The 23134-nt window shown below is 44.2% G+C and overlaps 1 protein-coding gene across 3 annotated transcripts in view, besides 5 other annotated features; it reads left to right on the top strand.

Annotated features, from left to right (window-relative positions):
- Positions 18889-18988: a silencer, noted in NCBI's record as "silent region_13597". NCBI's record gives its function as "represses an Ori minimal core promoter by ATAC-STARR-seq in GM12878 lymphoblastoid cells {active_cell/tissue: GM12878}" and the evidence as "EXISTENCE:reporter gene assay evidence [ECO:0000049][PMID:35858748]".
- Positions 21983-22277: an enhancer, noted in NCBI's record as "tiled region #2042; HepG2 Activating DNase matched - State 1:Tss, and K562 Activating DNase unmatched - State 1:Tss". NCBI's record gives its function as "activates a minimal TATA promoter and a strong SV40 promoter by Sharpr-MPRA in HepG2 and K562 cells {active_cell/tissue: HepG2 | K562}" and the evidence as "EXISTENCE:reporter gene assay evidence [ECO:0000049][PMID:27701403]".
- Positions 21983-22719: a biological region, named in NCBI's record as "Sharpr-MPRA regulatory region 2042".
- Positions 21990-22159: a silencer, noted in NCBI's record as "silent region_13598". NCBI's record gives its function as "represses an Ori minimal core promoter by ATAC-STARR-seq in GM12878 lymphoblastoid cells {active_cell/tissue: GM12878}" and the evidence as "EXISTENCE:reporter gene assay evidence [ECO:0000049][PMID:35858748]".
- Positions 22177-23134, top strand: part of MTMR3 (myotubularin related protein 3) — a 147695-nt gene continuing 146737 nt past the window's right edge. For all 3 annotated transcript variants that reach the window (NM_021090.4, NM_153050.3, NM_153051.3), the window contains exon 1: positions 22177-22362. The gene's annotated coding sequence lies outside the window, so the exon portion shown is untranslated. The remainder of the gene's footprint in view (positions 22363-23134) is intronic.
- Positions 22220-22719: a silencer, noted in NCBI's record as "silent region_13599". NCBI's record gives its function as "represses an Ori minimal core promoter by ATAC-STARR-seq in GM12878 lymphoblastoid cells {active_cell/tissue: GM12878}" and the evidence as "EXISTENCE:reporter gene assay evidence [ECO:0000049][PMID:35858748]".

A 23134-nucleotide genomic window follows, 5' to 3' on the forward strand; every position in this document is an offset into this window, starting at 1 on the left:
ACTATGCCCAGCTAATTTTTGTATTTTTAGTAGAGACGGAGTTTCACCATGTTAGCCAGGCTGGTCTTTAACTCCTGACCTCAGGTGATCCACCCACCTCAGCTTCCCAAAGTGCTGGGATTACAGATGTGAGCCACTGCGCCTGGCATAATTTCTAAGTCTGGGTTTACCTGTTTGGAAAATGGGTTGAATAATAGATGCCTCCTTCACAAGGGTGTTGAACTTTAATTACTGTTTGCAGTGTTGCTTAAGGGAGGAGATGAAAGGCATTTTTAAAGTTCATGTTACTGGCATTAGTAGTAAAGCTGAGGAATTTGTTTGTGAGTTTGTAAAGTTGTCATAACTGGGAAAAGGGTGAAAAAAAGGTTGGTTTTATGTGGAAAAACCTTACCCAAAAAATAGCCACAGATTCTGGTTAGTACAAATAGCAAGAACACGTTGTACCTCAAAGTACTTTGCAAATTTCACATTCTTCCATGCCCCTGGAAAGATAGAACCCACAATTCCAAAACTGAAAATAAGGAGTTTACCTGGGGTAAGGCAGGAAATTCAAGAGCTGAGTTTTGGCTGAGACCATTCTGAGTTCTCTTCACAATTTACAAGAAAAATGCAGTTAAAGCACAGAGTTCTTTATTTTTACCATAAATACTTTTCTTTTTCTTTTTGCATTCTGATCACATTTCTATCAATATTACAGTTAACAAAAACTTTTAGAAATCTACCATTTTGGGAGAGCACTTTATAAAGGAGAGGTTAGGATAAAATAAAAGGCCAAAACTCAGCTCAAGCCTTCAAAGCATTTACCATCAAACCAGAAGATAAATAGGAGTGAGTGGCCTATATTTAGAATTTACTTCACAGTGCCCTGTTATTAATAATAACTGCCCCCTTTGGAGTGTCCAAAGCCCTTTAAAATACATTACTTCATTTGATCCACCAACAGGGCTGGAATTACAAGCTCTGGTTTAAAGATGAGAGACTTAAGCTCCCACAGAAGTGACTTTTCTAAGGCTACAAAGCCGCCAAGTGATGGCACTGGGACTTAAACTTAGTCTTGGTAATTGGAATGGTCTAGAGGAATCTAGTGGAATGGTGTAGTGTTCTTTCCACCGTACTGCTATCCTAGTAGAACTCAAAGGAGAGCCCTGGTGTTTTGTCCTAGGTTCAAAGCTAGTCTGTGCCAAAGATCAATGCCATGTGGCATCTAATCAGAGAGGAGGTATAGTGTAGAGGGTAAGGGTGTGGGCTTAGACTCAGAGACTCTGGTTTTTTTCCTGGCTTTTAATGGCTATAAAGATTGGAGCATATGACTTGACTTTGCTGAGCTTGTTTCCTCATCTGTTAAGTGGGTATATAATAACAATGCTTCCAACTTTACTAGGTTCTATTAAAAGAGATAATCTATGAAGGGCACTTAGCACTGTGCCTGGCAGACATAGGCTTTGCCAAAAGCTATGAGGTGATCTTGACGAATGGCCAGTGCACCTTAATCCCTGAAATGAACCATCTTGGGCCAAAAACTCAAAAGAATTAAAACCTAAACCAAACCAAACCAAAACAAAACCTTTTTATTTTATTTTTTATTTTATTATTTTTTTTGAGACAGAGTCTCACTCTGTCACCCAGGCTGGAGTGCAGTGGAGCCATCTTGGCTCACTGCAACCTCTGCCTCCTGGGTTCAAGCGATTCTCCTGCCTCAGCCTCCCGCATAGCTAGGACTACAGGCGTGTGCCACCATGCCCAGCTAATTTTTTGAATTTTTAATAGAGACGGTTTCATCATGTTAGCCAGGATAGCCTCGATCTCCTGACCTTGTGATCTGCCCACCTCGGCTTCCCAAAGTGCTGGGATTACAGGCGTGAGCCACCGCGCCCAGCCTATTTTATTTTATTTTATTTATTATTGCTATTATTATTTTGAGACAGAGTCTCACTCTGTAGCCCAGGCTGGAGTGCTCACTGCAACCTCTGCTTCCTGGGTTCAAGCGATTCTTGTGCCTAGTCACCTGAGTAGCTGGGATTACAAGTGTGCACCATCACACCAGCTAATTTGTTTGTATTTTTAGTAGAGATGGGGTTTCGCCATGTTGGTCAGGCTGGCTTCAAACTGCTGGCCTCAAGTGATCTACCCACCTCGGCCTACCAAAGTGCTGGGATTACAGCCGTGAACCACTGTGCCCAGCCACAACCCTTTTATTTTGAGATAATTGTAGATCTGTGTGCAGTTGTAAGAAAGCATATGGAGAGATCCCCTAGGTCCCTATGTCTTTTGCCCATTTTCCCCTAATGGTAACATCTTCTATAACTATAGTACAATATCACAATCAGGAAATTGACATTGATACAATCCATCAACTTTATTTGGATTTCCCTAGTTTTATATTCATTCGTGTGTGTGTGTGTGTTTGTGTATGTGTGTGTTTGCATGTATACCTAGTTCTGTAGTATAATTTTATCATGGGTAAATTTGTTTGACTACCATCCACAGTTTCATCACAAGGATACTTTGTGTAACCCTTTTATAGCCATAGCCTTCTGCCTTCCTCCCTGCCTTGCTAACTCCTGGCAACCACTAATCTATTCTCCATCTCTATAATTTTGTCATTTCAAGAATGTTATATAAATAGAATTACATAATATGTAGCCTTTCTTTTTTTTTAATTTTATAAGTAGAGATGGGGTCTCACTTTGTTGCCCAGGCTCATTTTGAACTCCTGGGCTCCAGTGATCCTCCCACCTCAGCCTCTCAAAGTGCTGACATTATAGACTTCAGCCTATGAACCAAAAGGCCATGCTCAGCCTTTTTTTTTTTTTCTTGAGACAGTGTTTCACTCTGTCAACCAGGCTGAAGTTCAGTCGTGTGATCACGGCTCACTGCAGCCTCGACCTCCCTAGGCTCAGGTGATCCTCTCATCTCAGCTTTCTAAGTAGTTGGCACTAGAGGTGCACACCACCAATACTTTTTGAAGTTTTTTGTAGAGACAGGGTTTCACTATGTTGCCCAGGCTGGTCTCAAACTCCTGGGCTCAAGTGATCTGCCCACCTTGGCCTCCCAAAGTGCTGGGACTACAGGCATGAGCCACCGGGCCCTGCCTATGTAGCCCTTTGAGATCGACTTTTTTTTTTTTTTCACTCAACATAATTTCCTTGAGATCCAACAAAGTTGTTGCAGGTATCAATAGCACCTTCCTTTTTATTGCTGAGTAGTAGTCCATGATACGATGTACCACAGTTTGTTTTACATTCACCCATTGAAGGTCATTTGGTTGGTTTCCAATTTGGGACTATTATGAATAAAGCTGCTATGGATAATCATGTACAGATTTTTTTTTTTTTTTTTAGACTGAGTCTCACTCTGTCACCCAGGCTAGAGTACAGTGGTGCAATCTCGGCTCATGGCAACCTCCGCCTCCCAGGTTCAAGTGACTTTCCTGCCTCAGCCTTCCAAGTAGCTGGGATTAGAGGTGCCCGCCACCATGCCTGGCTAACTTTTGTATTTTTAGTAGAGATGGGGTTTCACCATGTTGGTCAGGCTGGTCTTGAACTCCTGACCTCAGGTGACCCACCTGCCTTGGCTTCCCAAAGTGCTGGGATTACAGGCGTCATGTACAGATTTTTGCGTGAACGTTAAGTTTGTCATTTCTCTGGAATAAATGCCCAAGAGTACAACTGCTGGGTATTGGTAAGCGTATGTTTAATTTTTTAAGAAACTGTCATATTTTTTCCACACTGTTTTTGCCATTTCGCATTCCCACCAGCCATGTATGAGTGATCCAATTTCTCTGCATCCTCACCAGCATTTGGTGTTATCATTGTTTTTATTATTTTATTTTATTTTTGAGATAGGGTCTTGCTCCACCCAGGCTGGAGTACAGTGGCACAATCATAGCTCACTGCAGCCTCGACCTTTTGGACTCAAGTGATCTTCTTGCCTCAGCCTCTAGAGTAGCTGGGATCACAGGCATGCCCCACCATGTCCAGCTATTTTGTTATTGTTGTTGTTGTTAAAGACAGGCGCTTGCCATGTTGTCCAGGCTGATCTCAAACTTCTGGGTTCAAGTGATCCTCCCACCTTGGACTCCCAAAATTCTGGGATTACAGGCGTGAACCACCTGGTCTATTTTTTATTTTAGCCATTCTGCCAGATGTGTAGTTATATCTCATTGTAGTTTTAATTTGCATTTCTCTAATTACTAATCTGAGCATCTTTTCATGTGTTCATTTTCCATCTGCATATTCTCTCATTGAAATGTCTGTTCATATCTTTTGCCCACTTTCTAGTTGGATTGTTGGATCTTTACTGTTGGGTTTGTCATTGTTTTAAAGATGGGGTCTTGTTTTATTGCCTGGGCTGAACTTGAATTCCTGAGCTCAAGCGACCCTCTCACCTCAGCCTCCTGAGTAGCTAGGACTATGGGTATGCACCACTGCACCTGGCTTACCGTTGAGTTTTGATAGTTCTCTGTCAGATATGTAGCTTACAAATATTTTCTCCCAGTCTGTAGCTTGTCTTTTTTTTTTTTTTTTTTTTTTTGAGACGGAGTCTTGCTCTGTCGCCTAGGCTGGAGTGCAGTGGCGTGATCTCAGCTCACTGTAAGCTCCGCCTCCCGGGTTCACACCGTTTTCCTGCCTCAGCCTCCCGAGTAGCTGGGATTACAAGCATACACCACCACACCTGGCTAATTTTTCTTTTTTTTTTTTTTTAGTAGAGACGGGGTTTCACCATGTTGGTCAGGCTGTTCTCGAACTCCTGACCACGTGATCCGCCCACCTTGGCCTCCCAAAGTGCTGGGATTACAGGCGTGAGTCACCGCGCCCGGCCTGTAGCTTGTCTTTTCATCTTCTTCACAAGGTCTTTCACAAAGCATCAGTTTTAAATTTTGATGTGGTACAATTTATTTATATTTCCTTTTATGGCTTGTGCTTTTGGTGTCAAGTCTAAAAACTTTTTGCCTAGTCCTAGATCCCAAAGATTCTCTCCTATGTATTTTTCTTAAAAGGTTTATAGTTTTATGTTTTACATTTAAGTCTTTGATCCATTTTGAGTTAATTTTTGTATATTATCGAGGTTCTTTTTTTCCCATGGATGTCCAATTGCTCTGGCATCATTTGTTTAAAACGTGATTCTCCCTCTGTTGAATTGCTTTTGCACCTTTGTCAAAAATCAACTGGGCATATTTATGTGAGCATATTTCTGAGTCAAGAACTCAAAGGAATTTTGACTCAAATATTGAACTCAGGTGAATAAAACATAAGAAATCAATCCACAGAGAGACTGAATGAAGACTAACACATGAAACATTTATCAAACAATCTAATGCTCTATGTAATAAAGTATGAAATTATAAGAAATTGACTGTGAGTACCCTGATCATTAAAACATAGGCTCAGGGAAGTGGTTCCAATCAGCAGAGTGCATTGAAATAGATACTGACTTTGGGGCCAGGAGACCTGCAACTGGACTGTGATTCCATCGTTTATCACCTGAGCGACACTAGGTGGGGGTAGGTAAGTTAATGAACCTCATGGAGCCTCACCTCCATCACTCACTGGAGATCACATTACTTGCCTTGCAGGATTAATGTGTGGACCAGTGAGATGGGAGCCTACAGAATGGCAGACACTAAGCTTGGTCCACATTAGCTACAGCAGGGGCAGATATGAAAAATTGTTTGGAGTTTTTATCTCATATTTTCTATCAGTCCCCTCTCAATTACTAAAAGTGAATATCCACTGTAAGTAAAAAGTGCATGTGTGGCCAGGCACTGTGGCTCACGCCTGTAATCCCAGCACTTTGGGAGGCAGAGGCGGGTGGATCACTTGATGTTAGGAGTTTGAGACCAGCCTGGCCAACATGGTGAAACCCCGTCTCTACAAAAAATACAAAAATTAACTGGGCGTGGCAGCGGGTGGCTGTAATCCCAGCTACTCGGGAGGCTGAGGCAGGAGAATCGCTTGAACCCAAGAGGCAAAGGTTGCAGTGAGCCGAGATGGCACCACTGCATCCCAGCCTGGGCGACAGAGGAAGACTCAGTCTCAAAAAAATAAAATAAAATAAAATAAAATAAAATAAAATAAAATAAAATAAGTGCATGTGCTATGCAAATGTGCCCTGCAAATGCACTAGTTTCCTAGTCCCTTTTTCCGACCAGACTACTGCTCTTAAACCCTCGTCTTGTCTTGTTTTATGGAAATTGCAGAGAAGGCAGGGCATGGTGGCTCATGCCTGTAATCCCAGTACTTTGGGAGATTGATGCAGGAGGATCACTTGAGTCCAGGAGTTTGAGAGCAGCCTGGGCAACATAACAAGAACCTATCTATAAAGACTGAAAAAAATTACCCAGTTTTGGTGGCACACCTGTAGTCCCAGCTACTTAGGAGTCCAAGGTGGGAGAATCACTTGAGCCCAGGAAGTTGAGGCTGCAGTGAGTCATGTTCATGCACTCCAGCCTGGGTGACAGAGTGAGACACTGTCTCTTTAAAAAGGAAGAAGGAAAGAAATTGTAAAGATGCTACAAGTCTACACCATGGGTTGGGCATCTCTTCTGAGCATCAGGGCCATTGAGTGGTGCCTTCCTCTTGGCCATTGAGTGATTCTGCAAATGAGAGTCTCCTTTTCTTTCTCTGGACATCAGCTTTTCCCTAGAAAGGAGAAGAAATTTGGTGCCCACCCCCTAAGGTGGCTTAGAAGGACCAAAATGTACAAAATGCAGATTACCTGGTAGATTTTCTCACACTTTATGTGTATGAAACACTGTTAAGCACAGCTTGGCAATCTACAGCTCGGGCCAAAATCCTGCCCCAACTTTTCCCTCCATCCTGTCTTCATGGCCTGACAGCCAAGAATGGTTTTTATATTTTGAGGCATTGTAGAAGGTTATTATCAAAAAGATGAAAGATAAAGTGTCGGCAAGGATGTGGAGAAAGGGTACCTTTGTACACAGTGGGTGTTATTGTAAATTAGTACAGCCCTTATGGAAAACAGTACGGAGGTTCCTCAAAAAACTAAAAATAGAGCTACCATATGATCCAGCAATCTCACTGCTGGGTACATATCCAAAGGAATTGAAGTCAGTATGCTGAAGAGATGCTGGCATTCTCATGTTCATTGCAGCACTAATCACAATAGCCAAGATATGGAAGTAATGGAAGTGTCCATCAGTGGATGAATGTATTTTTTCAAATGTGGTATATAGACACAACGGAATACTATTGAGCCTTAAAAACACATGAAATTCTGTCATTTGCTGTTGCATGGATGAACCTAGAGGTTATTATGTGAAGTGAAGTAAGCCAGGCACAGTGACAAACACTTCTATGTGGAATCTGAAAGTCAAATGCATAGAAGTAGAGGGTAGAGTGGTAGTTCTCAGAGGCTGGTGGGGGTGGGGAGGTGAGCAGGAAAGGGGAGATGTTGGTAAAGGGGTGTGAAGTTATAGTTAGAGGAATAAGTTCTGGTGTCTTATTGCACAGCAAGCTGACTATAGTTAATAATAATTTATTTGTCTATTTTGAAATAGCTAGAAGAGAGGATTTTAAATTTTCTCACCACAAAGAAATGATACATATTTGAGGAGATGAATATGCTAATTCCCCTGATTTGATCATTCTACAATGTGTGAAACAGCACATTGTATCCCATAAGTATGCATAATTATCTGGCAATTAAAAATAAATTTGAAAAAAGAAAAAAGAGTTCAAGGAAGGAACAAAGGAAGGGAGAAAATGTCACAGGGATGTATGTGGCTTGTAAAACATTAAATATTTATTATCTGGTTCTTTTTTTTTTTTTTAATTGAGACGGAGTCTTAATGTGTCGCCCAGGCTGGAGTGCAGTGGTGTGATTTCAGCTCACTGCAACCTCAGCCTCCCAAGTAGCTGAGATTACAGGCACCCACCACCAGGCCCAGCTAATTTTTGTATTTTTAGTAGAGACAGGATTTTGCAATGTTGGCCAGGCTGGTCTCAAACTCCTGACCTCAAGTGATCTACCCGCCTTGGCCTCCCAAAGTGCTGGGATTACAAGTGTGAGCCACCGTGCCCAGCCTATTATCTGGTTCTTTTTTTTTTTTTTTTTTTTTTTTTTTTGAGATGGAGCCTCCCTCTGTTACTCAGGCTGGAGTACAGTGGTGCGATCTCGGCTCACTGCAACCTCTATCTCGGGGGTTCAAGTGATTCTGGTGCCTCAGCCTCCCAAGTAGCTGAGATTAGAGGTGTGCACCACCTTGTCTGGCTAAGTTTTATATTTTTAGTAGAGACGGGGTTTCACCATGTTGGCCGGGCTGGTCTTGAACTCCTGACTTTAGGTGATCTGCCCGCCTCAGCCTCCCAAAGTGCTGGGATTACAGGCGTGAGCCACCGCGCCCAGCCTATCTGGTTCTTTACAGAAAAAGTTTGCTGTCACCTGTTGTAGAGGATAAAAATGAAGCTCAAAAAGGGGAGAATATTACTGACTTGAGGTCACCCAACAAAGAAATCATCCATCTAAAACAAACAGATTGGGTTCCCTTTATATACAAGGATATAAATACAAGATCATAGAACAGTCAGTGCAGTGTTTCTCAAAGTGAGTGCCATGGACCCCAGATCCCAGAATTGCCCAGTAATGTGTTCTCAGCTCAAATGAGTTCTGGAAACTCTGGAAACTCCATAAGCTCTTCTTAGATGATTATTATGTACATCAGTATATCAAGACTCTCAGAAGTTCTGCTGCAAAGAACAAAACTGTTCGGTTACCTTGTTGAACTCGGCATGTCCCCAGTTATTTTTTAGCTGGGAATCTTTTTTGGGGGGTTTATTTTGATGATAGCAATGTAATACCTTTCCTCAGAAATATTTGAGAAATTCTGAAGACATAGGTCAATCACTTAGGTTTGAAAGCCAGCCCATCCACTTCTTTGCATAGGACCCTGTGCAAGTTGCCCAGTCTCTTTGAGCCTTGTTGGTGGGAAGTGGAGACTCATTTCCAGTGACATTTCTGATCCCCTGGTTCCTGCCTTTAGAGCTACATTTCCCCATAGGGGTGTTCACTGGCAACCTCCCACACCACTGGGCTCAGAGTAGAGAATGAGCTTTATTTTTTCTCTCTGATTGTACATAATTCTATAATTTACTGGAAAGACTGAGGCCTCCACATCACACTTGGGGCCCTTTTATGCAGCATATGCCCTGATAAGGGAGGACACAGTGGGTCAGATTCTAGAAGACTCGACCTTAAAAAGTCACGAACGTGGGAACCAGGGAGACAGATGGAATATGTACAATAAAAGGATTTGTCAGGCCCGGCATGGTGGCTCATGCCTATAATCCCAGCACTTTGGGAGGCTGATGCAGGTGGATCACTTGAGGTCAGGAGTTTGAGACCAGCCTGGCTAACATGGTGAAACCCCATCTCTACTGAAAATACAAACATTAGCCGGTGTGGTGGCTTGTGCCTGTAATCCCAGATACCTGGAAGGCTGAGGCACAAGAATCGCTTGAACCCAGGAAGTGGAGGTTGCAGTGAGCTGAGATCGTGCCATTGCACTCCAGCCTGGGTGACAGAACGAGACTCCGTCTCAAAAAAAAAAAAAAAAAACGGATTTTTCAACATCCAGAGACTTGTTGGGACAGGGTTGATTATTTCCTAGAGGTGCTGAAAAAGGAATTTGTAATATTAAAAGAATGTAACCATTATGGAATCCAGCCTGCACTCTGTGATTAACAACACAACATTAGATCATAGAATTTCAGCAAAGATTCTCTCCTTAATATGGTGAGACTGCCTCACAGAAAGATGCCCCAATAAACCCATACCTGTTGGGGGAAGAGGCCAGCTCTCTTTTGCCTCTGCGTATTTGCAGGTTCTGAGTCAACTTTTTCTTTGATTTTTGCCCACTTAGCTCCTCCCCTTCCTTCAAGTCTCTGTATCAATGTCACCGGGACCTTCACAAGTCTGCTGCACAACTGCTGCCATAAATCCTATATCTTCTACATTACAGTACTTACCTGGGCTTCTGTTGACTTTGTCTTACCAACTAGACTGTAAGTCTCAGGAGGCCAGGGACTGGTTTTGTCTTGTTCACGGTTGCATGGGCAGAGCTTGTCCTGGTACTCAATAAACATTTACAACAAAAAGATTGACTAGGCCAGGCATGGTGGCTCAGGCCTGTAATCCTAGCACTTTGGGAGGCTGAGGCAGGCGGATTGCCTGGGCTCAGGAGTTCAAGACTGGCCTGGACAACATGGTGAAACCCTGTCTCTACTAAAATACAAAACATTAGCCAGGCATGGCAGCGTGTGCTTGAAGTCACAGCTCCTCGGGAGGCTGAGACAGAAGTATTGCTTGAAGCTGGGAGGAGGAGGTTGCAGTGAGCTGAGATCACACCACTGCACTCCAGCCTGGGCGAGAGTGAGACTCCGTCTCCAAAAAAAAAAAAAAAAATTGACTGAGAGAGCATTTGCATCTCTTTGGACTCCTTGGTTCTCAGACACATTGGGGAAACTGAGGCAGCTTGGCCAACTCTGTAGAGATGCGGCAGGGCTGGGAACGTAAGATCCTCTGACACCAGGTGTGAGACTCTTTCATAGCCCTCAATCACTTCTTAAATTCCTCCCCAGTGGAGCTTCTGTGACCTTATTCTATTCTTTCTTGTCATCTTTGCAGAGGTGAAGACTGTTTCAGAGAATTACTTTATAACAAATGAGATCCAGAATAGAAGAAAATTTATCTAACTCTCAGGGGCAGGAGAAATGTGAGCCTTTGGACCTTGAATTTAAATGAGCCAGCAAATCCCTGCTAATTCTCTTCCCCTGCTGAGTCCCGTCTGCTTCACATTCAGCAGAGGAGAAAGCCAGCCTGTGTCACCCATGATTTATGCCGTGCCGTTTGCTCTCTTTCTCTAGAACATTAAACACCCTGAGCAGAGGAGGAAGAGGTACTCTCAGGAGGCCTGGTTGACAGACGGGTGTCTGGGGGTGGGGAGCTCTCTGCTCTGTTGGGAAAAGGGAGGAGGTTGAGTTAAAAAAAAAAAAAAAGGCCCATGCGGCTTCCACATAAAAGGAATAAGGGAGTCTCTGTGTGCCTTGACCTCTGCAAAAACAATTGACCTCTGCAAAAACAATTGGCCTCTGAGCCAAGAGACCTGGGTGCTTGATTTACTCGTTTACTAAGTACCTTTGGGCAAGACTTTCCTGTTTCTGGGCCTCAGTTTTCCTGCCTGTCAAAGAAGGGTCTGGATGGTTTGAGCTCCCTACAGCTTCATGGATCTGGAGCTAGTTGGTACAGCGACCTTGCATAGACCGAGACAATGTAGCACAGTGGTTAACCATAGGGACTCCAGTCCCCTGGGTGGGTTCTGACTCCAGCTCCACCTCTTACCTCCCACTATGTGGCCCTGGGAAAGTTCCTCACCTTTCAGTTTCATCTGCATGGTGAGGTTAATAGCCAGGACCTTCCTCATTGGGTGGCAGGGAACTAAAGCCAGGCTCTTGCAGTGGTGCTGGCACTGACCTAGTACTTTATAATAGAGTCAGCTGTTATTGGGACTGTTGTTCCTGAGATGGTCCCCTATTGTGACCTTGGTGTCCCTCAACCCCAGTTCTCTGCTTGGAGCTCGCTTGGTGCAGGGCAGGGCATCTTAGTGAGCAATTGGAAGTTCTGGGCAGAAGGGAGAAGGAGCTATTTTCAGTGGGTTCTGGTTCTATTTGTAGCTGGTGAGTTGGCCCAGGCTGCAGGGAAGCTTTGGGCCAGCACACTGGGCACTGAGAGAGGTGTGTTGTCTTACATTGGAGAGGGGAGGGAAAGGAGAGAGAGGAGACAGGGAGGTCAAATGGAGAGGAAAAGGAGGGAAGCCACCCCCCCACTCACCCTCCCATACCTTTCTAACCTGTTCTTGCCAATTTCATCTCCTCTATCTTACCTGGGGAAACTTAGAGGGGGGCCCTGACCTTTTAAAGGTAGATTTAGTTTGCAACACGAAGTGATCCATCAACCCAGTTACCACAGTGTTCCCTAACCTATGGCGTTGATTTTTTTCCAGCTGAAGTGGGACTTTTATCCCCAGCAGAATTTTGGGGTATTTGTTAAGGTAGGTGGTGCCTAAACCACTAAATACCTAAGTCATTTTTCAAAACAAAGAGGAAGCGCTCTCATTTCCCCACTGGATACTAGGGCAGAACCTGCTGACTTCCTCTTCCAGAACCATCCCCTACATGGCTAAGCGAGTTGCTTACCCTCTCTGGCCCTCAGTTCTTCATTCATGAAATGAGGCAGCGGTGCCAGGGAGACACGTTTGGAGCTCTTGAGTTGTTTCCAGTTGTAATTCTGTGGCTCCCTGATGCAGTAATCAAACCAGGTGAGGCTGATCCTTTAATCAAAGGATGGTTGGTAGAACTAGGAGGCTCCAAGGAGAGGATGACATTCTACCCTGTCATTATCTGGATGATAAAACTGAGGTCCTAAAGGTGGGGTCAGATCAGGCAGTGAGTCAGTGGCTCAGCTGGGTCAGTAACCCAAGCCTCTTACCTCCCATTGTAGCAAAGCCTCCCTGACACTGGACTGCAGGGTACCTCTTCCTAGAGGGATGATGGCACTCACATCTACTGAGTGCCATTGTACTATTGTAGTTGTGTTAACTGATTTAACTCCCACACTAATCCATTTTCCAGATGAAGATCACCCATATAGAAAGAAATGGTAACATCAAAAGCTCAATCAAACACTATTTGAGTATTTCCCAATGTCCAGTTATCTGGGTATCATCCTCATGAATTTTTGACATAATTTGCTTCATACGTTTATACTAATATTTACTTCCTACTTTTATTTCTCTCTTTTTAAAATTTTTTTGTATTTTTTGGAGAGAAGGTCTCACTCTAACCCAGGCTGGAGTGCTGTGGCACACTCATAGCTCATGGCAGCCTTGACCTCCTGGGCTCAAGTGGTCCTCTCACTCAGCCTTCCAAGCAGCTGGGACTGCAGGCATGTGCCACCACATCAGCTAACTTTTGTATTTTTTTGTAGAGACAGGGGCTCACCATGTTGTCCAGGCTGGTCTCAAACTCCTGGCCTCAAGCAATCCTCCTGCCTCACCCTCCCAAGTAGCTAGGACTACAGGCATGCCACAGTGTATGGTTTCGTCTCTTTGATAATAGCCATTTTTACAAGTGTTATGTGATATCTCATTGTGGTTTCAATTTGCATTTCCCCGATGATTAGTAATCTTCAACAGTTTTTCATATAGCTGTTGGCTATTTGTGTCTTCTTTTGAGAAATGCCTATTCAGAACTTTTGCCCATTTTTTCAGTAGGATTATTTATTTGCTTACCATTGAGTTCTTTATACATTTTGTATATTAACCCCTAGTCAGATGTATGGTTTGCTAATATATTCTCCCATTCAATAGGTTATCTTATTACTCTGTTGTTTTCTTTGCTGGGCAGAAGGTTTTTAGTTTGATGTAGTCCCATTTGTCTATTTTTGTTTTTGTTGCCTGTGCTTTTAGAGTCATATCCAAAAAATCATTTCCCAGACCAGTGTTATGAAGCTTTTATGTTTTCTTCTGGTAGTTTTAATTTCAGGTCATATATTTAAATCTTTAATCCATTTTGAGTTGATTTTTGTGTATGGTGTAAGATGAAGTTCTAATTTCATTCTTCTGCATGTGAATATAGTTTTTCCTAGCACCATTTATTGAAGAGACTGTCTTTTCTCCATTGTGTAGTTGTCATCTTTGTTGAAAATCAATTGACTGTAAATGTCTGGATTTACTTGTGGCCTCTCTGTTCTGTTTCATTGGTCTGTATGTCTGTTTTTATGCCAGCACCATGATATTTTGATTAATATAGCTTTGTTATTTTGAAATCAGGTAGTGTGATACCTCTGGCTTTGTTCTTTTCATTCAAGACAGATTTGGCTATTCAGTCTTTTGTGGTTCATATGAATTTTAGAACTTTAAAAAAATTTCTGTGAAAACTGTCATTGGAATTTTGATAGGCTAGTATTGAACCTGTAGATTGCTTTGGATAATACAGATATTTTAACAATGTCAATTCTTTCAGTCCAAAAACAAGGGATATCTTTCTGTTAATTTGCCTTCTTCAGTTTGTTTCATCGTTGTTTTATAGTTTTTAGTGTACAGATCTTTTACCTCCTTGGTTAAATTTATTTCTAAGTATTTTTCTTTTGGTAGCTATTGTGAATGGGATTGTTTTCTTGATTCCTTTTTTGGATAATTAGTTGTTATGTTGTTAGTATACAGAAGTGCTACTAATCTTTGTGTGCTGATTTTGCATCCTGGAACTTAACTGAATTTGTTTATTAGTTCTAATGGTTTCCTGGTGGAGTCTTTAGGGTTTTCCATACATATGATCATGTTGTCCGTAAACAGAGACTATTTAACGTCTTCCCTTCTGATTTGGATGCCTTTTATTTCTTTCTCTTGCCTAATTGCTCTGGCTAGGATTTCCTGTACTATGTTGAATAGAAGTGGTGAGAGTAGGGGTCCTTATCTTATTCCTGATCTTAGAGAAAAAGTTTTCAGCTTTGTACCATTGAGTATGATATTAGCTATGGGCTTGTCATATATGGCCTTTCTTATGTTGGGATACATTTCTCCTATACCTAATTTGTTGGGAGTTTTATCATGAAAGGATACTGAATTTTATCAAGTGCCCTTTCTGTGTCTATTGAGATGATGGGATGGTTTTGCCCTTCACTCTGTTAATGTGGTGTATCACATTTATTGATTTGTATATTGATTGATATTTATTGATTTGAACCATCCTTGCATCCCAGGGATAAATCCCACTTGATCATGGTGAATGATCTTGTTAATGTGCTGTTGAATTTGGTTTGCTAATAGTTAAAAAATGACGTTATTTAAAAAATATCATGGTAAATCCATGATGTGTTAACATAAATGACATATTTTTATGTAAAAAATCTATATTTTCTCACACAAAAAATTTCATGAGAAGAATGGCATTGTTTTTAACATGTTTGCAATTTTCATTAAAGTCTGACAATGGAAGAATTCTGCATTCTCATATCTGCTTCTGCATTTAGTCTGGGGCAATTTGTTTTGGTTAAAGTACATGAAGAAAATGCAGCCTTATATATTTCAGTTCATTGTGGATATTCTTTCTTGATACTACACCAAAGGTTGGCAGGTAATAGTTTCTTAAAGTTTATTTGCATAAATTCATATCAATGAATTTTTCATACTCACACTAAAATCCATTGGTCTACCTTATACTTTTTTTTTTTTTTTTGAGACAGTCTCACTCTGTCATCCAGGTTGCAGTGCAGTGGCACGATCTTGGCTCACTGCAACCTCTGCCTCCTGAGTTCAAGTGATTCTCCTGCCTCAGCCTCCCGAGTAGCTGGGATTACAGGCATGCATGGCCACGCCCAATAATATCATGCATTGGTCATATGGAAAATATTGGTTTACTATGTAGTGCTTTAAAATGTTGGCACATTTCATTATATGATATAAAATATTCATTTTGCTAATATCACCAACCGTCTCAGCAGATGTATTGGGAAGGTATATTGGGAGGCTGTCAAGCTCATGGTGGGACATTTAAGTTTTCCAAAATTGTAAGTAAGCTTGAATTTTATCATTGACAACAAATACTATTAGCTGTCTTACTAGATGTGACAAACCTACTTCATATATTTTTGAGAAAATGTCTGCCAAACACCCAAATCTGAGTAACTGTAGTTTGCATGTTAACCATTCTTTCAAGTAAAAATGATATTTCCTTAAACAAGAGGCTAGCTCATCTTGCAACTCAAACAATTGCAAAAGTGTTTTTCTTTGAGACCACTGTCCTACTTCTGAATAGTAAACGTGCTTTTTGTGTGTGGGAAATAAGTGCCTAATAGGTAGAGGGCTTTATTTTACAGTGATGAAAACGTTTTGGAATGGGACAGAAGTAGTGGTTGCATAACATTGTGAATGCACAAAATGCCACTGAATTGTCCACTTAAAATGATTAATTTCATGTTATGTGAATTTCACCTCAATTGAAAAAGTGAAAAAAGGGCTTTATGTGTAATTTCCAATCCATCACACAGAATAGTAAAAAGGCTTGTATTCAAATATATAGAGATAATAAAATACATATTTTTTGTTACTGCTTCATCAATGATTTTCTTAAGTGAAACTGGCATTTTGTTTACTACTAGGGTATGTTGGTGAAGAGTACAATGGCTACTAGTACATATCATATCACTGCCTTGATTTGTGATAAAGTGCCACCAGTTTTACTACCACTGCTTTTGCACTATTAGTGCAAATGTCAACACAGTAAAAAGGCAAACAATTTCTTAGTATTATTAAAATAGTTTTTATTTATTTTATATTTATTTATTTATTTTGAGATGGAGTCTCACTCTGTCGCCCAGGCTGGAGTGTAGTAGCGCAATTTCGGCTCACTGCAACCTCTGCCTCCTGGGTTCAAGCGATTCTCCTGCCTCAGCTTCATGAGTAGCTGGGATTACACACGCCCGCCACCATGCCCAGCTAATTTTTGTATTTTTAGTAGAGATGGGGCTTCACTATATTGGCTAGGCTGGTCTCAAACTCCTGACCTCAAGTGACCTGCCTGCCTCGGCCTCCCAAAGTGCTGGGATTACAGGTGTGAGCCACCACTCCTGGCCTATGAAAATAGTTTTGACCCAACTAGAACCCTGAAAAAGTCTCAGGACCCTCCAGGGACCTGTGGACTATGCTTTGAGAATCACTGCTCTAGGCTCAATCAGAGTTGAAATTACCCTCTCCTACAGTAGGGTTGCAGTGTGGTGTTTGGAAAATCCCAGGAGACATTGAATCACAGCAACATGATTCAACTCTAATTTCTGTCTGACCCGTGGCAAATTGTTCCTCAAAGTCTGAAAACCACAGTTACTCCTGTCTGCTAGCTGGATTGGGAGACCAAGGAGATGCTGAAGAGATTATGGGCTAATTCACGCAAAGTGCCCACTGAAATGAGTGACATTTAGAGTTAAGCAGTATTACCCAGTGTTGGGAAGTCTGCATTTTGGGAGGCTGAGGGACCCCTGCCTTCCAGGGGCCCTGCATGACTTTAGGAAGCCTCCAACCCTCAATCAGCATTTTCATCTGTCTTAGGCTATTTCAGAGTCCCTGTGTAGCTGGAATAACATTTTCAGCTTTGAAGATAGGATGGGGAGCAAGGCTGAAAGGACAGCAGGAGGAGGAGGAGACGGTCAGGCGGGTAGAGGACCTCACATGAGAAATAGGGCAGCGAGATGAAGCGAGGATTGGTTCCCTCTTTCCTTGAGTCAGTGCACAAAGCTGGGGCTTTGTCTTCAGCCAAAGCACACAAGGAACCTGTGCACTGCTTTGGCTTTAAATGGAATATAAAACGTTCTCAAACCCATTACCTTAAAGAACCCTAACATGCTTCTTTTTTCTTTTTCTTTTCTTTCTTTTTTTTTTTTTTTTTGAGACAGAGTCTCGCTCTGTTGCCAGGCTGGAGTGCAGTGGCGTGATCTCGGCTCACTGCAATCTCCACCTCCCAGGCTCAAGCGATTCTCCTGCCTCAGCCTCCAGAGTAACTGGGACTACAGGCGCGTGCCACCACACCCGACTAATTTTTGTATTTTTAGTAGAGACAGGGTTTCATCATGTTGGCCAGGATGGTCTCGATCTCCTGACCTCATGATCCACCCGCCTCTGCCTCCCAAAGTGCTGGGATTACAGGCGTGAGCCACGGAGACCGGCCAACATGAGTTAAGTAGGTTAGTGATTACCACCCTAGAAGGCGATGAGGAAACTGACGCATAGAAAAGGGAAAAGAGAAGCAGATATGAGGAGGCGACAAGATTCAAATTTAAGTCTTTAGACACAGACCAGCTTTCTATTGAGTCTCCTTAGGCCCTTCTTCTTGAGGTGAGTTTTCAAGGCCATGCTGCAGTTTTCTCTTTCTTATTTATAAATAATTTACTAAAGTCTGTCTTAAAGGTAAGCAAGTGGGCAGCAGTGGTGATGAGGTGTAGTAATGAAGTTGACAAGCATGAACTTGGAGTCAAATCTTCTGGGTTCAAATCCTGACCTTTACACTTTCTTATGTGTAAAATGGAGGACAGTAACAATACCTTCCTATAGTGTTGTTGTAAAGATTACATTACCTTTAAATTTTATTTTATTTTATTTATTTCTGAGACAGAGTCTCGCTCTGTCACCCAGGCTGGAGTGCAGAGGCACCATCTTGGCTTACTGCAACCTCTGCCTCCCGGGTTCAAGCAATTTTCCTGAGTAAGCAATTTTCCTCCGGAGTAGCTGGGATTACAGGCACCTGCCACCATGCCTGGCTAATTTTTGTATTTTTAGTAGAGATGGGGTTTCACCATGTTGGCCAGGCTGGTCTCGAACTCCTGACCTCAGGTGATCTGCCCGCCTCGGCCTCCCCAAGTGCTGGGATTACAGGTGTGAGCCACCGTGCCCGGCCTAAGATTACATTAGATATACATGTAAAGTGCTCGTATAGCGCCCGCCACAATTGAAAGGTTCAATCCAGCCAGTTGCAGTGGTGAATACCTCTAGACCCAGTAGGGAAGCCGAGGCAGGAGGGTTGCTGGAGCCGGGGAGTTGGAAGCTGTAGTGTGCTGATATCTGGTCGGTGAATAGCCACTCACTCCAATTCATGTTAGCTATTATGAAAATGAGAAGGTGCAAATAGTGTGATTTCATGGGCATAGAGAAATTCCTCCTATGTCCCAAATACTGGTTGAAGATTCAATTGAAGATTATTTAGCCCAGATTAAAAGGCAAACACGATGACATTCCGTCTAAAAAGAGGTCAAAATTACAAGCCATCTCCTTCGCTCTCCCATGGTGAATTGGGGAGCTGTGGGATTGGTTGAGTGTATGCTGACTGCCTATTGGCAGAACTCTTTGCCCTGTGCCTTCTCATTGGAAGCTAGGTGGCCTATGGGTGGGCTGTCCTGGAGTCAGGTGCTAGCTTCAGTCCAATCAGAGGCCACCAACCTGTGGCAGTTCGTCCTATGGCCTTTCCCTGAGCAGATGACTGGTTAAGGGAATTTCCCTGCGGGGGGGCTTAATGGCTGATGAGAACCTTGGTTTATCAGACAATGGGAAAAACAGGTTGGAAAGTCCTTTTTTTTTTTTTCTTAATTTTTAAAGTTTAAGGCTGGGCGTTGTGGCTTACCCCTGTAATCCCAGCACTTTGGGAGGCGGAGGCAGATGGATCGTTTGAACTCAGGGGTTTGAGACCAGCCTGGGGAACACGGTGAGACACCACCCCCACCCCCCGTCTCTATGAGAAATACAAAAGTTAGCCAGGTGTGGTGGAGCACGCCTGTAGTCCCAGCTTCTCAAGAGGCTGAGGTGGGAGGATGGCTCGAGCCCTGGGAGGTAGAGGTTGCAGTGAGCAGAGATCCAGCCACTGCACTCCAGCCTGGACAACAGAGTGAGACCTTGTCTGAAAATAAAATAAAATATAAAAATAAAAAGAGGCCGGGCACGGTGGCTCATGCCTGTAATCCCAGCACTTTGGGAGGCCGAGACTGGTGGATCACCTGAGGTCGGGAGTTCGAGACCAGCCTGACCAACATGGAGAAACCCCGTCCCTACTAAAAATACAAAAAATTAGCCGGGTGTGGTGGCGTATGCCTGTAATCCCAGCTACTCGGGAGGCTGAGGCAGGAGAGTCGGTTGAACCCGGGAGGCAGAGGTTGCAGTGAGCCAAGTTCCCGCCATTACCCTCCAGCCTGGGCAACAAGAGTGAAACTCTGTCTCAAAAATAAAATAAAATAAAATAAAATAAAAAAACTTTAAATCATTCATCAATTTTAGTATTTACTGTTTCTTCTCCCATTCCATTAAGCCTATAGTCAGTCATAGAACAGAAAGGGAAAATCAGGGCAGCCACATATAAATACAGGTGCAAAGTTGAGGCAGGAGTGGACCCTCAAGGGCCAAGAAGAGGTCATTGCTGAGCTTCACATTTAGCCCTGGGCTTTCTGGAAGCCAGAGTGAAAAGAGAGACACAATCAGATGCGTAACAGTTATCAAAAAGCAGGAAGCACACCGGTTTTTCTGGTAGTAAAGCAAGGGCTTTCCAAGCTTTTAACTCTAAAGTAATTTATTTCGTTCTTTCTTTTTTCTCTCTCTGACACCCAGATTGGAGTGCAGTGGCACAATCAGGGCTCACTGCAACCTCTGCCTCCCAGGCTCAAGCCATTCTCCCACCTCAGCCTCTCAAATAGCTGGGACTACAGGCGTGCACCACCACGCCTGGCCAGTTTTTTGGTATTTTTTGTAGAGATGGGATTTCGCCATGTTGCCTAGGCTGGTCTCGAACTCCTGAGCTCAAGCAATCCACCTGCCTCGGCCTCCTAAAGTGCTGGGATTTCAGGCATGAGCCACTGCGCCCGGCCTAAAGTAATTTCTTACTTGAGATTTTATTTCAGGCTACTGTGTCCATGCACTGGGCAGTACAGCCTGGTGGGTAAGACAGCACAGTATTTTTTTTTTTTTTTTGTCTGCTGGGTTTGAATTTTGTTTTAATACACGCAATTTATTCTGTGCTTCACTTTCTTCATCTGTAATATGGAGATAATGGCATCTACCTATTAAAGTTGTGAAGATTCAATTAGATGAGTTGTATGAATAAATGTTAGCTGTTAGTTTAGTTTCGTTTTTTTGAGACGGAGTCTTGCTCTGTCGCCCAGGCTGGAGTGCGGTGGCGCAGTCTCAGCTCACTGCAACCTCCGCCTCCCGGGTTCAAGTTATTCTCCTGCCTCAGCCTCCCAAGTAGCTGGGATTACAGGCGCCCGCCACCATGCCCAGCTAACTTTTGTATTTTTAGTAGATCCGGGGTTTCACCAAGTTGGCCAGGCTGGTATCGAACACCTGAGTTCAGGTGATCCACTCACCTTGGCCTCCCAAAGTGCTGGGATTACAGGCGTGAGCCCCCGCGCCCAGCCAGCTGTTAGTTAATCAAGAAATTCGACTGCCTACTACTTAACCTGCACAGTTCTAGGTGCTGGGGAAACAGTGACGAACAAGACAAGATCCTTATCTTCAAGTAGCTTTTACATTTTAGTGGAGTAAAATGACAGTAAACATTGAAAATAAATTTCAGAAAGTGCTGTGGAAAAACTTTACAACAGACGCAGGAATAGATTTCATTTGACTAGTTCTCCCAGTTTCCAGAAAAGTCAAGGGTAGAATGTTAAAAGGCAACTCAGAGGAGGTGAATCTGTTAGGGCCTACGGTAATGCAATCCTGGTTTGTGGAATTCTGCAGGCTAGTGTGGGTAGGTTACAATTTTTTGGGGGAGTTGTTTTTTACTTTGTTTGAAAACTCACTTCTTCCCGCTGAGCTTTTGATTAGGAGCTGAAGTTGAATCAGTTTGAAATTGTATTCTGGACCGGATGCGGTGGTTCATGCCTGTAATCCCAGCGCTTTGGGAGGCCGAGGTGGGTGGATTGCTTCAGCCCAGGAGTTTGAGATCAGCCTGGACAAAATGGCAGAAACCTCATCTCTACAAAAAATACAAAATTTAGCCGGGCATGATGTTGTGAGTCTGTAGTCTCAGCTACTCAGGAGGCTGAGGTGTGAGGATCGCTTGAGCCCGGGAGGCAGAGGTTGCAGTGAGCCGAGATGCCACTGCACTCCAGCCTGGGCGACAGAGCCAGACTCTGTCTCAAAAAAAAAAAAAAAAAAAAAAAAAAGAAAAGAAAAGAAAAGAAATTGTATTCTGAATACAACTTCTAAAACACTATATTTACTTGCATTATATTAAACTGGTTTTATCCTGACCACAATTGCAGGTGGAAGATACCACTATTGTTCTATTTTTCTGGTAAGTAGAGTGAGCCATGTCTTGCCCAGGGTTACAGAGCTTGGAAAAGACGCCTCCTAAAAATCTGTAGGACCACCTTTGGTTTTCTTCCAGATTTTTTTTTGTCATCTCTTTTCCTCCACCCATTTCCCATCTGTCTAGCCATTCTTGCTCCGCTGGGCTTTTTCGCGAGCCTCTCCCCAGCTGCAGCCCCGCCCATCTCCTGGGGCGTGACCACCTGTCCAGGCCCCGCCCCCGTCCAACCGGCGGAGACCCGCCCCCTTTCCCGGACACCGGGCTCAGCGCCCGAGCGTGCGCGCGCGTCCTCGCTCGTCGCCCGGCTCGGCGTCGGGAGCGCGCTCTGTGTGGCCGCTGCCGCCATGTTGTTGTGGTTGTGAGAAGGCGGCGGCGGCGGCGGAGTAGCAGCCGGACGAGACGTCCCAGCGGCTCAGGCGCTGCCCAGCGCCGGCCCTGGCAGGGAGCCTGGTGGGGTGGCGGAGGGGGAGACTGTGCCGTGGAGGGCCTCGCCATGTCCTGCTGCCCGGTAAGAACCCCATCCCCGTCCTCCGTCTCCTCGGCGGGTGAGGAAGAGCTGGAGGAGGGGCCGGCCTCGGCCCCGGCCCTGGCCAGGCGGCTGTCACCCTCTGAGGAGGCAGCGCCCTGGGAGGGCTGGGGACTGCGTGCGGGGCCCGGGGAGGGGCGTCCCCGGCGGCTGTCGCCGCCAGGGGGAGGCGCTGGGTGTGGGAGTGGGAATGGGAGCTCGGCGGCCGAGCTCGGCCCGGACCCTAGATGCGGGGGAGGCGGGGTCCCGGGCTCGGGCTGCCTTCCCAGACCTGGCGGGGATGGGCCCGTGCGGCTCTGGGTGTGGGACGTACCCTCGGAGCGCCCGGAGTTATTCCCACGAACTCCCGGGAGGTGGGTGTGCGCCCTTCGCCCCCTGCCGGGTCTGTGGCGGTCCATCGTTGCCGGATACTGGAGGTCAGGGGCCATGGGAGCCCCGGGGCGAACGGTGCGGGCCTGGGCCTTGTGGAAAGGAGGAGTGACCGCCCGATCGTGCAGCAGGGCATCCCCCTGACCTGGTAGTACTTAGGTGGGTAGGATGATTGGGGGCGGTTGGCGTAACTGAGGGAACCCTGGTCAGACTGCTCCGCAAATGATTACAGTGTTATTTCTCCGGTAGTAATTTTGCTTGATGTATGGCATTTCCGGACCCATAAGATGATACTGTAGGTTGTATTTTGGACTGGAAAACTTATGTCAAAATTATGGGGTAGATTTTTTGGCCACATTAATAGACTCCCCTGGAATTTGATAAT

Source organism: Homo sapiens, chromosome 22 (assembly GCF_000001405.40).
Source record: "Homo sapiens chromosome 22, GRCh38.p14 Primary Assembly".
NCBI classification, from domain to species: Eukaryota; Metazoa; Chordata; class Mammalia; order Primates; family Hominidae; genus Homo; species Homo sapiens.